General features: G+C 36.1%; 1 protein-coding gene across 2 annotated transcripts in view; it reads left to right on the top strand.

Moving 5' to 3' along the window:
• Positions 1 to 14,327, top strand: part of LAMA2 (laminin subunit alpha 2) — a 633,429-nt gene that overhangs the window by 450,473 nt on the left and 168,629 nt on the right. For both annotated transcript variants that reach the window (NM_000426.4, NM_001079823.2), the window contains exon 30: positions 8,733 to 8,857. In NM_000426.4, the coding sequence (NP_000417.3) occupies positions 8,733 to 8,857 (125 nt within the window). The remainder of the gene's footprint in view (positions 1 to 8,732; positions 8,858 to 14,327) is intronic.

Below are 14,327 nucleotides of genomic sequence, written 5' to 3' on the forward strand. Positions count from 1 at the left end.
CAGAAATAATTACTATCTTGCTTTAGTATGCTATTTTTTCATCAACTGCTTGCCTGACAAATTCAATAGGCAATTTGAGAGGAAGGGGTTAATCTATACACATTCTTAAGCAAGAATTAAATGTATATGTCTTATGCAATCTTCACTGGCATTTTTAGCACAGTTATATTTGCTTTATATGATTAATTTAGAAGCATTTATAAATAATGCAGTTTAATTTCAATTTTGTTAGGATTAAAATTACCGTCTTTATACTGTCCTCTTTTGACCAATTGACTATTATGACTATTTTTGTTCTCTAAGAATTCTAAAAGCATGTCTATTTTCTGAGGAATCCCTAGATGAAGTAAAAAATAAATACTTCCATTAAACAAACACAGCTGGTATAAACCGTTATGCTCCAAATTTTTATATTTTCTTTCATGGAACTCACAACTTTTGAATTTAGGCAACTCTGTTCATCTTTGAAATGGCCTCATGAGGCAAATAAGAAATAGCTGTTATTACTCCCACACAGTAAGTGAGGAAACTGAAGCATACTGATTTCTCTTTTATGTGCAATATGGCTCTCAGTTTCATATCATATCCATTATACAGTGCAATGCCCTCTACCTTGGTATAGTGGCAAGCATGAACTCTGCAGTCAGAGTGCCTTGATTCAAATCCTGGCTTCACCCCTTACTGGTAGTGTGAGCCTACTCAATTTATTTAACCTGAATGAGGTCTTAGTTTCTTCATTTATATAATGAAAACAATAATAGTGGCTACTCACAGAGTTTTTGTAAGGATTTGATGAAATACTCAATAAAAGGCTTAGAACATTACTTAGTGCATGGTACGCTTCATAAAAGCAATTATGATAATGATGATCATAAAGATGATAATTACCATACACATTATCTACCATTTATAGTCGAAGAACCAATCAGTTGATAATTAATCAAAAAATAAGTAAAAAAAATTCATGTCTAGCGCTATGCTAGATTTTCTTACTGTCTCAGTCCATTTCGGATGTTGTAACAAAATATCATAAACTGGGTAGCTTATAAATAACAGAAACTTATTTCCCACAGTTCTGAAGGCTGGGAAGTCCAAGATCAAGTCTCCAGCAAAGTCAGTGTCTGGGGAAGGCTTCTTTCCTGGTCATAGCTGACCCCTTCTTTCTTTGTCTTCACGTGTTGGAAGGCACTAGATAGCTCTCTGGGGTCTCTTTTGTAAAGGCCCTAATCCCACTCATGAGGCTCCAGCCTCATGATGTAATCACCTCCCAAAGGCCCCATCTCCTATTACTATCACACTGGGAGACAGGATTTCAACATACAAATTTTTGGAGAACACAGTTGTTCAGGCCATAGCAAGCCTTAACCCCCAACATGATGATATTTGGAGATGGGCACTCACTTATCTTGTTTTTCTTTATCTTCACACCTTTCCCTGAAAATATAAAGTGCATAGGAAAGAAAACTGTAGAAAGCTTTATAGACTAAATATTTTAAAGAAACCCAGATCACCTTGTAACTATGCTCTTCATCATACCTAATGATACTTGCAAGATAATTGTTGCTTCATCCTAGGCATTAATAAATCCTGTACATAGGCATGTTATTATGAATAGCTCAGTGACATTGCTCCTTAAGAAAAAAAATTTTTTTGAAGACTAAAACCTATGTAATACTGAGTCCAAGGGGATAGCGGGAGGTAAGTGAACTAACAGTAACTAGTACACACACATAGGTAGTAAGTAGGTAGATAGATAGATAGATAGATAGATAGATAGATAGATAGATACAGAAGGAAGATATTTTCATTTAATCATTGCTACACCCTGTAGTCAGATTATTTCTCCTATTTTTTTTTTCACATGGGAATATTGAAGACTTAGCTAGCTCAAACAACTTTTTAAAGATAAAATAATTTGTGGAAATATTATTTTCACTCTATCATAATTCTTATTTTAAAAAGAAAATAATAAAAATAAATCTCTATAACTGATCATTGCTGTTGCCTGAAACATTTAACCAATTACCTCTATCTTCAGTAAATAGACAGATTTGTAACTAGAATTCACTATTTTTTGTTTTGTAAACCTTATTTAATCTACCTAACAACCTTGCCAGAATAGAGATTGTTAGCATTATACTAAGTTCTGGAAATTAATGCTAAGAAAATGTAAGCAACCTATAAAGCCTTGAACAAAAAGTATTAGAAGCAGGTTTCAAATCCACCACAAACTGCGTTCTCCAGACGGCAAGAGAGTGTAAACACTCTCTGCTGATTAAATGAGTTTGATTTTACAAGCTCAAGTGAATTATATCTTAGAGTCGGGACAGAATCTGCAAAAGTGACTAGGGGTCATGTATGGAAAACACTTGAGAAATTGTGAGAACATAAAATTTGTCGCAGGATAGTAAGCAATAAAACATCTTTCCAGGTTTTATAAAGGAAAATAAAATGTAGGAAACTGATTGTCATCTCCAGTGAAACTTAAGTATTGCTTACTTAACAAATATCTGTCAACTGTGGAAAAAATAAACAGTGCTCATTAGGAATCAGAATAGGTTCACTTTGTCAGAGGCAATGGCTCATGCCTGTAATCCTAGCACTTTTGGAGGCCAAGAGCGGAGGATCCAGGAGTTCGAGACCAGCATGGTCAACAAAGGCCCTGTGTCTACAAAAAATTAAAAATTAAAAAAAAGAATAGGTTCATTCAAAATAACACATATCAAACTAAGTGCTAGGTTTACTGTATATATAATATCTGAAAACCTAGTTTTCTAAATCCCAGTAAAATATCAAGTTTATCAGACAATGTGATACATCATATCTCAAATTCAGCAAAAAATAATAACTGCTATTATGTGTCCAAAACTGTGTATGTACCAGGACCAAAACAGGTCACTGTACAGAGATTTTCTCATTTATTGTTACAATAAACTTATGAGATAGACAAGATTATTTCTTCTTTTATTGTTGATGAACTGATGCTAGAGAAATTAAATAACTTGCTTAAGTCATAAAACAGCAGAGGCCATATCCATGTTTCAAATGCTGGTTTGTTTAAATAGATGTTTGATGAGCTATTTCATAGTATCCTTGTGCACAAGATTGAAAATATGAGCCAGATGTTAGCCAGCTGATAGGTTGATGGGCATATACGTTGCTAAAAAAATGTGACCCAGAGTACACTCTAGTGATATCTCCAATGATGAGGCGTAAGCTTTGTATTTGACCTTGTTGTGTTCAAAATATCTGTAAATGCTTTGGATGATATCTATCAAATATTCAGATAATATAAAGCTGAAAGTATTATCTAATGTGTTGGATGGTGGGAAAATATCCTGACAGATGATACTATGAATTACAGTTAACAAGATGAGATTAATAGAAAAGATTTGAACTCAGGTAAGCTCACTTGTTTGTTCATTCCTGTGGCATCTGTTAATTATGTTTCCAACATGCAGGTCTATGGCCTATGGTAGATAGTAAGAATATGAAGACTGCATGGGTCTTGCCCTCTAGGAGCTTATTCTCTAGTTTAGGGGAAAGAACAGAGGAAATGACACATATTAGCAATTCATGTGAAGTAAGAGTCCTTACTTGATTGCAGATTCACTAGGTGCCAACACAGGGCATTGCTATTTGTATAAGATCCAAATCAAGGGAGGAAGTACATTTAATATATTTGCAAGTCACAGCTAGAGACTTATAATCTACTATATTTTGAAAGAAACCCTGAGTAAGATTGCTAAATGTTTAGCTTGAAACAAAGATTTAGGAAGTAATAGTATTCTTAGATATTTGAGGACCTTCCCTAGGAAAAGGGAATTAGACTTAATTTTCATAGCTTCAGAAGGCAGAACTTGGATCACTCACTGAAAATTAGAATGCATCAAATTTTTATTCACCGTAAGGAAAAACTTCACAGCTTATGCAAGACGAAAAAAGCTGTCTTATAAGAATTCATGCATTTAATGATATCTCAAGGAAAGTATAGAAGGCATTCCTGTATGGCAAGAAGGTTAGATTAAGTAATTTCTCACCTTAGGCCTGAGATACTATAATATTAATGTTATAGTCATTTGATTTTGTAGAAGGAATATATACCAACAGTTTTCCAGTGTGCAAAAAAAAACTTAACAAATCTAATATATTCTGATGTATTATTGAAGAGATACTAGCACATACCACTCTTGAGAATATAATTAAACTTCTCATTAGGCATCCAAAATATAGGAATTTCCCCTAATGGCTAATTTTTATATAAGAAAAAATACTATGTACACTATTTCAAAGCAGACAGAAAAGTCATATGAAAAGGGTATGTCAAAAAAGTTTCAAAAAGAGGCTCCTGATTTATGTGTTGTGTGTTTGTGGACCTAACCAGGACATTTGATTCAATTAACCAAGTTTAGTATGTCAGCAACCCTCTGAAAGATTGAGAAGATTGACTGTCCAGAGAATATTACAATATTTGCTTTCTCTGTTGAAGAAATTATGTAGACTTACAGGTATAAGAGAAACAAAATCATATTTTTGAATCTCTTATTTTTAGTAATGATTATTGGCTTTAAGGATTTTAATTCAGTTACTAATGTTATATTTAGGTTACATAAAATAATTCATTATGCAATTATTTTACTGCAAAAGCAAAAGGCTGAAAATTATTGTTGAAGATCCCATGTATTTTTGGCACATTCATCTCTATAAAATAAGTTCTTAAAACACTCCCCAGTTAACACTTATTCATCAGCATGACACCTTGCTGAATGACTTGAAATTATAATTCATAGATAATTATTTTATCTTGGAGCCATTATCTCTCATAATGCTACTGTTAAATATGGAATGGCTCTTTTATTGCTTAAAAATGGTGGTTCCTTTGGATGGTTGAATAAAAGAGGATTATGGCACTTAAATCAATGGCAAAATATGACAAATCATTTTGCCCTGCTAACCACTTTTCTGCAATGACACTTGAAATTTGGGCTTTTTCATCTGAAAAAGCCTGACCAGTTTCATCTATACTTCCTGGAACATGCATTCATTCATTCAGTCATTCAAAATAGTCATCGAATGCCTCCCATGTTTGATGAACTAAAAGGAGCATTTAAGCCAGTTTTAGGTCATCGGGGAATGTTTCTCAGAGAAAGTGACATTTAAAATGAGAGCTGAAATGAATAAGTGCTAGCCTGATATACACTGTAGAGCTAAGGATTTGCAAATGAAAAGTCCCAGCAGTGATAAAGAGTATCCGCATAATTTGAGAATTTCAGATGGCCCCATGTGGCTACGGCATTATATGCAAAGAAAGCAGTGGCTACAGCTACATATGGAGGGGTAAGCACAGTGGTGGTGAAGGCGGGGGTGGGGGTGGCAGGTAATGAAGCTCTTCCTTGCCATGCTAATGATTTGTTATTCATCCTGACTGCATTTGGGAGCTAGTGTAGGCTTTCAAGCAAGAGAAGGTCATGGTTTGATATGTTCATAGGATGATCACTCTGCAGTGTGGAGAAATCACCAGATAAGAAAATATGGAGACAGGATCTTTAGCTAAAAGGCTATTCTAATAATCCAAATAAAATATGACAGTGGCCAGATGAAAATAGTAGCAACAAGAAAGTCAAGAAACAGAGAGTAATAGACTCATGGAACTGATGATCTAATGGATACCTCGGATAAGAGAGGCCTCTAGGTTGCTGACCTTGGCAATTGAGTGAATGACAGTGACCTCAGATGAAACGAGAAATACAGGAGTATTACAAGGTTTAGCAAGAGATGAACTTCATTGTTGTCATTTCAAATTTAAGACGCTTCTGTGTTATACAATATTTATTCAAGAAGCAATTAGAAGCAGAAGTCTGGAACCCATTAGAGATATCCAGGCTGAATACATAAAATACAGAGTTTTGGGCACACCATTAACTGAAGTCATAGTAATGGATGAAATCACCAAGGTAAATGTGGAGGAGAAAAAAGAGATGAGGACCAAAGTTAGAATTAAGGGCGTCAATTATATTGAACAGAAAGGGAAGGAAGAGTCGATAAAGGAGAATTCGAGTAGCCGCAGAAGTAGGAGAAACATCAACTGGCTTACTCTTAAAGAAGCCATGGGGGCTGGGCACGGCAGCTCCCGCCTGTAATCCCAACACTTTGGGAGGCCAGGGCAGGCAGATCACGGGGTCAAGAGATGGAGACGATCCTGGCCAGCATGGTGAAACCCCGTCTTTACTGAAAATACGAAAATTAACTGGGCATGGTTACGCATGCCTGTAATCTCAGCTACTCAGGAGGCTGAGGCAGGAGAATCGCTTGAACCTGGGAGGCAGAGGTTGCAGTGAGCTGAGATGGTGCCACTGCACTCCAGCCTGACTACAGAGCGAGACTGTCTCAAAAAAAAAAAAAAGAAAGAAAGAAAAAGAAAGAAAGAAACCATGGGAAGAGAGTATCCAGAAATATCTATCAATGGCTACAGAAAACCTACATATGAGGCCTGATGATTGTAAGTTTTGCTTTAGCAACAAAGATCTTATGGGTCATCCTGGTATTATGTTTAATGGTGAAACCAGAAGCCTGTTTAAAGGGAGAATGGGAGATGAAGAAGTAGAGACCAGGAATGTAAACAATGTCTTTTTAAAAGCTTATCGAAAATAGGATAGAAATTGTCAAGCAATTTGAGACCTCACAGATTTTTTTTTTAAGACAGGAAAGGCTTGACCAATTTCAAATATTAATGAGAATGAGCCTGCAAAGGAGGGAATAAAGATGGTGGAGAAAATGGGGAGGCAGGAGGAAAGGAAACCAATTTAGGAGTGGAGTAGCTTCAGACAAAGGACGGAAACAAATGTCAAAGGGATGGAAAATAATGTGGCAATATACTGAATTGTTTGCCAGGAAACCAAGGGAGCATCCAAATTAGAGCTTTCTTATCTCTTAAAGTAGGGTAAGGTGTAGAAGTAGAAGATTTGAGATTGGCTGGGCACGTTGGGAGGCTGAGGTGGGTGGATCACCTGAGGTCAGGAGTTCAAGACCAGCCTGGCCAACATGGTGAAACCCCATCTCTACTAAAAATACAAAAAATTAGCCTGGCGTGGTGGTATGTGCCTGTAGTACCAGCTACTCGGGAAGGTGAGGCAGGAGAATCCCTTTATTCAGGAGGCAGAGGTTGCAGTGAGCCAAGATGGTGCCACTGCACTCCAGCCTGGGCGACAGAGCTCTGTCTCAAAAAAAAAAAAAAAAAAAAAAGAGAAAAAGAAAAGAAAAGAAAAGAAAAGACTTGTACCTTGTCATATTGGAAAACCAGATTCATTTCACATTGTTATAAAATCTGTAAATGTCACAATATAATTTCAAATATAACACCAAAAATGTAAAAAATAAATGATCTAAAATTCACTGTGGCAATGTCATAGTTTCACTGCAAGAAATAGCATAAACTCTCAAAAAGAGTTAATAGAAGTTTTAAACAAACATTAATTCCATGGCAATATCTGTGGTGGAAATGACGTCAGCTATTGTTTGTTGTGAATTGCCACACATTCCCTACCAACAATTGTCTGGCCATTAGAAGACACATGAAACATAAATACATTCTTCTTGATTGACTAAATGAAGCAGAGCCCAGTCTATGGGATATCATCCAAGTTCAAGCTGGCGGCTTCGTGGCTCCAGCTGAGATTATCAGGAAGTCAATTCACTAACATGTCCATCTAGTTTGTAACTGACTTTTTTGTTTCTCAACTTTTCTTTCGATATTGTTTATAAGATGTAAGTCACTATTTTGACCACTCCAAATCCTGTCTTATAAAATCCAGCTAAAATTCAATTCCAAATTCCCTTCTTCCTTTTTCTCAACTCTCAAATGCAAGGATCGCATTCCCACAAGATAACATTCAATGTTGCATTCTTGCTGCCATGTTTATTTTTTGTCAGGTGGTTTTTTTAAATTATTATTTTCCCAAAGTCTAAGTAAATTTCTAGAAGGTAGGATGTTCTTTCATTGCCTGTTTCAGTGCATTCCATGTAGCTCTTCCTAACTCCTTATTGCATAATTGATTATTGTGTTAAATATAATTCTGCTTCATGAAAATTTTAATTTGAAGCTATTTGCACACTATTCTGAAGCTATTCTCATTTCTTTGTGGAAAGGTGTTAAAGGGTATCACCCCAATGTCTCTTATTATGCAAGCATAAGAAAGAAGATATCGATCTGAGATTGCTAGTTTTAGATTGACTCCTCTGTATTTATGAAGAACCACCTACATCTATGCTTTCCACCTTGAGGTGGTTTCAGAAAGCCCACTAGTGGGCATGTGCCAAGGCCACAGTATTTGTAGCACCTTTTTCTAACATCTCATAGAGCTAAAACCTGGGATATGAAGAAACATAAATGCCTAGAAGAAATAATAAATTTTAGAGACTCGAAGTCTATTCCCCAATTTAGAGTAGGAGAAAAATTTACATAGAGATTGATTCAGGGAAAAGAGAATAGCAACTCTTATTGTCAGTGTAGCTACGATAGCACAGTATTAGTTTCTCAAATCAAAGAGTTCCTTTAAAAATATTTATATCAAAGACTGAGTTCTCTGTCAGTGATAAAGTGTGTGTGTGAGTGTGTGTGTGTAAGAAAGTATATGTGTTCATAGACACACATTCATAGCTAGGGACTGTATGATAAATTACATTCTAACTATCACTAAATTAAAAACAAACTTCTTCTCCCTTTTCCTTTACAGAATTGTCAACATCACACTGCTGGTGACTTCTGTGAACGATGTGCTCTTGGATACTATGGAATTGTCAAGGGATTGCCAAATGACTGTCAGCAATGTGCCTGCCCTCTGATTTCTTCCAGTAACAAGTAAGATTGAGAAATATAACCATATTTCCCAATCAGAAACGCCATCTGTCTAGCACATGGGCTGTCTATGATTTGGCTATTTTTTCCATGTAGACAAAAATCTCAATTTAAGATAGAGATATTTTTAATAATATAGAAACATGACAAAAGTGAGTATATAATGCTCTATGGTTCATTTTTCCTTTGAAACTCTGTCCCAAGTAAATAATACTTATTAATTAAAATTGAAGTACCAATATTAATGTAAGACATATTTATAAAACAAATGATATATATATACAAATATGCATGGTTTCATAAATATACCAGTCTAATGCTTGCATATAGCTCTGCCCATAATATCATCTATGAAGGATTGTTCGGGTGCATATTATATAATTTTTGTGGCTGTTTCCATTTATTTTATGTGTTTAATTCAAGATTGGGAAATAATTATCAAGAAAACATTGAAAAATTGTACAATTAAAGCAGGTGACTTATTGTTATGCTCCAAAAAATGTCATCTCCCGGAATCACAGCCTCCTTTTTCTTAAGATGGTCTGAGCTTGGTACCATGGAAACACAGCCCTAAGAAGAAACAAAAGCTGGAATATCTTATTTCAGTGCTGTCTGAACATTCTGCACTGGTTTATACATTGATGAAAACCCTAGGTGTTTTCATTTACCTTTTTGCCCACACTACCTGCACTTTCTGTTAAGTGATTTATAGACTTCAGTAAGGCAGGGTAGTTTTACTCTAAGAATTTGCTTTTGAAAATAATGTATGGCAGTTTGTTCAGAATTAGAATTCTGGACACTTTATCTTGAGTGTTAAACAGCCACAGAGCAATTTGGACAATGTGATCTTTGCACCTGTGCCTACTCACTTTCTTCTTAATCTTCGGCTTTGTGTGCATTCTGAAAACATTTCCTGTAAATCATCTCCTTTTCCTCTGAAAGCTCCTCTTTTTTGTTGGCTGGAATCACAAGCCTTTTACAGGGTGTCAAATGTCAATTTTTAGGTAAGCTGGATATTGAAGAGGATAATATACATGGTCTTATTGTTCATCCAGGGACCAAGTAGTATGTGTATGAAAAATAACATTATTTTTGTCTCTCTTTCCCTAATTTCTCCTTGATGCCCCGATTTATTTAATTGTTTTAAAAAGTAAGCCATTTGGATTAGAAAAATTTAATAATTAATTGATAATTCCCTGGTGAGTACACTATAATAAAAGCTACAGGAGATATACAAGAGAAGCATGCCATTTTTTGGAGGAGCTCACTGTAAAACCTGTGTGTTAAGGGGTATCAACTTAAATGTAAAGAAAATTCAAAGGCACAAAACACCACACTTAATACTGGAAGCTTCAAGAACATATGAAAAGAAATAGTAGCATGTATAATGGGTCTTAAACAATTAATTTCAGGATTTTCACTGGTGGGAATAGTAGGAAATTATATGGGCAAATGCTTACAAAATACAAGGCATGTGCAAAACCTAATAAGTAACAGAATTTGGAACATGGCGTTCAGACACAATTTCATGATCACAGATGAAAATGAATGGGAGAATAAAGACCATATTGTAGAAATCCTTAAATACCAGTCTAAGAAATAGTTATTTAATTTTCTATGTAATAAGGAAACACTACAAGTTTTTATTTTGAAAAAAAGGTTAATATGATTATGGCCACATTTTAGGAAAACTATTATCATAGAATTGAGTATAATGAATTGAAACAGGCAAATGAGAAAAGCATAGAGACCAATTAAAAGGCTAGTATACTAGCATGGGCAAAAGATAATTAGAACCAGAAGTAGGTAATAGTAATAAGAATGGAGACAAAGGAATGAATGTGAGAAAATGGTTTAATACAGCTTTACAGATTCGGAAACTAATTAGATGTGAGGGGTGAGGGTCCGGGCAGAAGTTGAAGACAGGTTTTTAGGCAGGTTACCCCCAAAAATGGTGGTGCTATTAACTGAAATGGAGAAACCAGGAGAGAGCCGTTAGAGAAGAAAGATAATTTATGTTTCAAATAGGTTCAGATTGATAGAACATATCTGTCTGAATGGAAATATGCAAATAGCTGCAGGAAATGGAAATCTGAAAATTGCAGGAGCAGATGAAGGAAGAGATATGTTAATAAGTGAATTAAAGTTGGATAAGATTTCCCAGGCTAATGTTATCCAAGGCGAGTATATAGAAAGAATGAAAGACAGGACTTTATGTTGGGAAAGGAGAAAAAGAAGAGCCAAGGCAGGAGCAGTCAGAAGAGAGGGAACCCAGGCGGCACTGCCATTGACACCAAGGGAGAGAAGAGCAGTGAACAGCATCAGTTGCTGCTCTCACAAGGGAGACCCAATGAATATGGTGGCAATTGACTATTGTAATTGAGCAAATAAATGGGCTTGCCGCCTGAAGCACATAGAAGCCAATAACGTTGGCACTGGCTTCGGAGAAAAGAAAGGCTTTACTGCAAAATTGTTCAGCAAGGAGACAAGAGTCAGGTTCAAATCTGTCTCCCTAATTTGGGATATGGGGAAGGTTGCAAGGGGTCAGAAGGCAAGGCAAAGGATTTAGAAATGCTGGCTTGGCAGAGTCTGATTGGAGGGCTTCAAATTTGATCACTTACAGTAAGGTATATTGAGGCAGATTTTAGCCCTGGATCTTCTGGGCCAATGGACCCCTCATTTCTGAAGGAGTTCCAATGTCCAGGTTTTGATTTTGTCCCTGTCTTGTTGGTTCAAGGGGAGGAATAGTTGGTTCCTGGTGTTGTTAGAGGTCAAAATTTTTCTATTGAACATGCCTGGGCTACATGACTTGCAGCTTTTGGCTCTGTTATACCTAAAAGGTAACTTGACATTTTGTTATCAACAGGGTAGGCCCGGTTTTGGTTGGTCCTGTAGTTACACTCTCAGAGTCATTGATGAATTTTGACCATCAATAATGAAAGCAGAATTTGAATTTACAGTTTTAAGAAATTTCAAGAATAAAATGATAGAATACTACCCTGATTGGTTAGCAGGATCAATAACAGGGTGTGTTTTCATTTTTGTTTCATTGTTGTTTTATATGATTTGTATAATTTGAGTAAATTTTTATGCAAAAGACCCTGAAAGAATCAAAATATCAAATTAAAATGGCAAGTTCAGTGGCTTTCAAACTTTATTGATTGCATCCACTGTAAGATACACTTTTTTATATCATAAGCCAGAAACACACAAAAACTTGTGTGTGTAGATATCTAAATATATGTATTATACACCATGCCATTTATTTAATTTTGTTATTTTACATTTTTAGAAAAAAAATTTTAGCCAAAACCTACTCAATGGATTTCATGAGTCACTTATATCACCATCTAAAGCTTGGGACGTATTAGGCTAATTAACAAAGTGAAGACCTATAAATTGTGAGAAGAGAAGAATTAAAATGTGAAGCAAAGAAACCAGCCAGGGCAAAGAAAAGAGGCACTTCTCCCCAAGACATAAAAACAGATTCTGAGGAATAGATGGAGGAGGCTGAGATATCTCAATTTATGACTTCAATCTGTGCAGTCAGTGAGAAATATGGAGGCATGATGAGTGATTACTGACTCATTTCCACGGCATTAGTTCAAGTCCTCATTATCTCTTACCAAAACAAATATGGTAGAAATTTAACTCTTATGACGGAGTGGCAGTGCTCACACACCCTTAGAAGTTTCCAGTGCCTTCCCAAGGAAAGATCAGACTCTTTGAGCATTAGAAACCCTCTGTAATCTGACTACCTTTCCAGGCTCCAAGCCCTCAACTCCATTCTATATAATGCCAAGTTTGGCATTTCTTGCACTTATCTAGACATCATTAGCAGTCTGCTCTTGCTATTCCCTCAGACAATCCCTGTGAAATCTAATTTATTTTTAAAGGCATTTTTCAAACCCTACCTCTGCCACAAAACCTATCCATAGCACAGAATGTATTTTGTACATTTTATATACAACGAACACATTTTACTATACAGAATTATTTCAATCATTCTTTCAGGAGATGAACATTTACTAAGCATATACTTCATCCCAACACTATGAATAAAAGATAAAAGATATGTGTCCTGTCCTGTATGTGTACATATCTGTGTCTCACACAGAATTGTAAATTCTTTGAAGGTAAACATAATGTCTTATTTCTTTCTTTATTCAAGAAAAAGTTAATGAGGGCCCAACTCAATGCTAGGCATGGCTCTTCGTACTGGGAATATATAAGTGAACAAAACGGCCTGTGTTTCCTAGCCTTCTGGAGCTTGTATTTTTTATAAGAGAGTAAGATAAAGAAATAGATATATAATGTAATATCAGGTAATGACAAGTACTACCAGGAGAAATAAAGGAGACTCAAGGAACTTAGAGTGATGAAGGTATGATTTTAGATGAGGTGGTCCATGATCTTCACAAACAGATGAGACTTGTGCAGAAATGTGAATGGTGTGAGCCATGTGAATACCTGCAGGAAGAACAGTCCCCTCAGAGAAAAAAGTCACTGCACTGGCCCTGAGACAGACCCATGCTTGGCAGATAACAGGAGGCCAGGGTGGTTGGAACAGAGTGAATGAGAAGAGGGGGCTAGGAGATGAAGTCAGCAAAGCTCTAATGAATATCTAACTCTCCTGAGGGCTAAAAATCTTCCAGTGGCAAGAGGTGGCTTGGTACAGGATAATCCAGTGGTGTTATTGATGGAAGCACCAGCAGCATTTGCAGATAGGAGATAAGTGGAGTGTGAGAGAGGAGACACGGTTGACACCATGGTTTTTGGCAGAGCAAATGGAAACATGGAGTGGCTGTTGACTGGGATGGGGAAAATTAGGGAAAGGTCTGGTGTATTTTTGGAGGGGGAGAAACTTACTTTTAGATCTGCGAAGGTAGGCACAATATTTAAATCCCTTAGGACTAAGTGAGATCATTCAGAGGAGAGAGGAGAAGGGAACAGAAATCAGAAAACTGAATTGTGAAGCACGTTAAGAGATCAAGGACATGCCATAGATCCAACAAAGGAAACTGAAAAGGAACAACCAATGAACTGGGATAAAAACCAGAAGGAAATGGTTTCCAGGAAGCCCATTTATCTCTGCAGTGTCCATAGGAGATGACACAGAGAGCAAGCTCTGTAAATTTTAAAAATTCTGTTGAGGGGAGTTTGGAATTAGCAGCCATAGGGAAATGTAAAAGATGGTCACCATGAGAAAAGCACAAGGATTTCTGAGTAGCCCTGCAGACAAAATGATAATTGAGAGAAGATTAGGGAGTTGTGAACAGAAAGAATAAACTCAAGCTTCAAGTGAGATGGAATCCCTACTCCCTCCAGAAGACCTTTTATGTGATATAAGGAAACAGTGCAATCCACCATAATATCATAATTTGAAAAAAATTGTATCAACTATTCAAGAATTACTACATTCCTATACAGTAAACACTTTATTATTTTTTTATTGACATTTCATTATTTTACT

Source organism: Homo sapiens, chromosome 6 (genome assembly GCF_000001405.40).
Source record: "Homo sapiens chromosome 6, GRCh38.p14 Primary Assembly".
In the NCBI taxonomy this organism is placed as follows: Eukaryota; Metazoa; Chordata; class Mammalia; order Primates; family Hominidae; genus Homo; species Homo sapiens.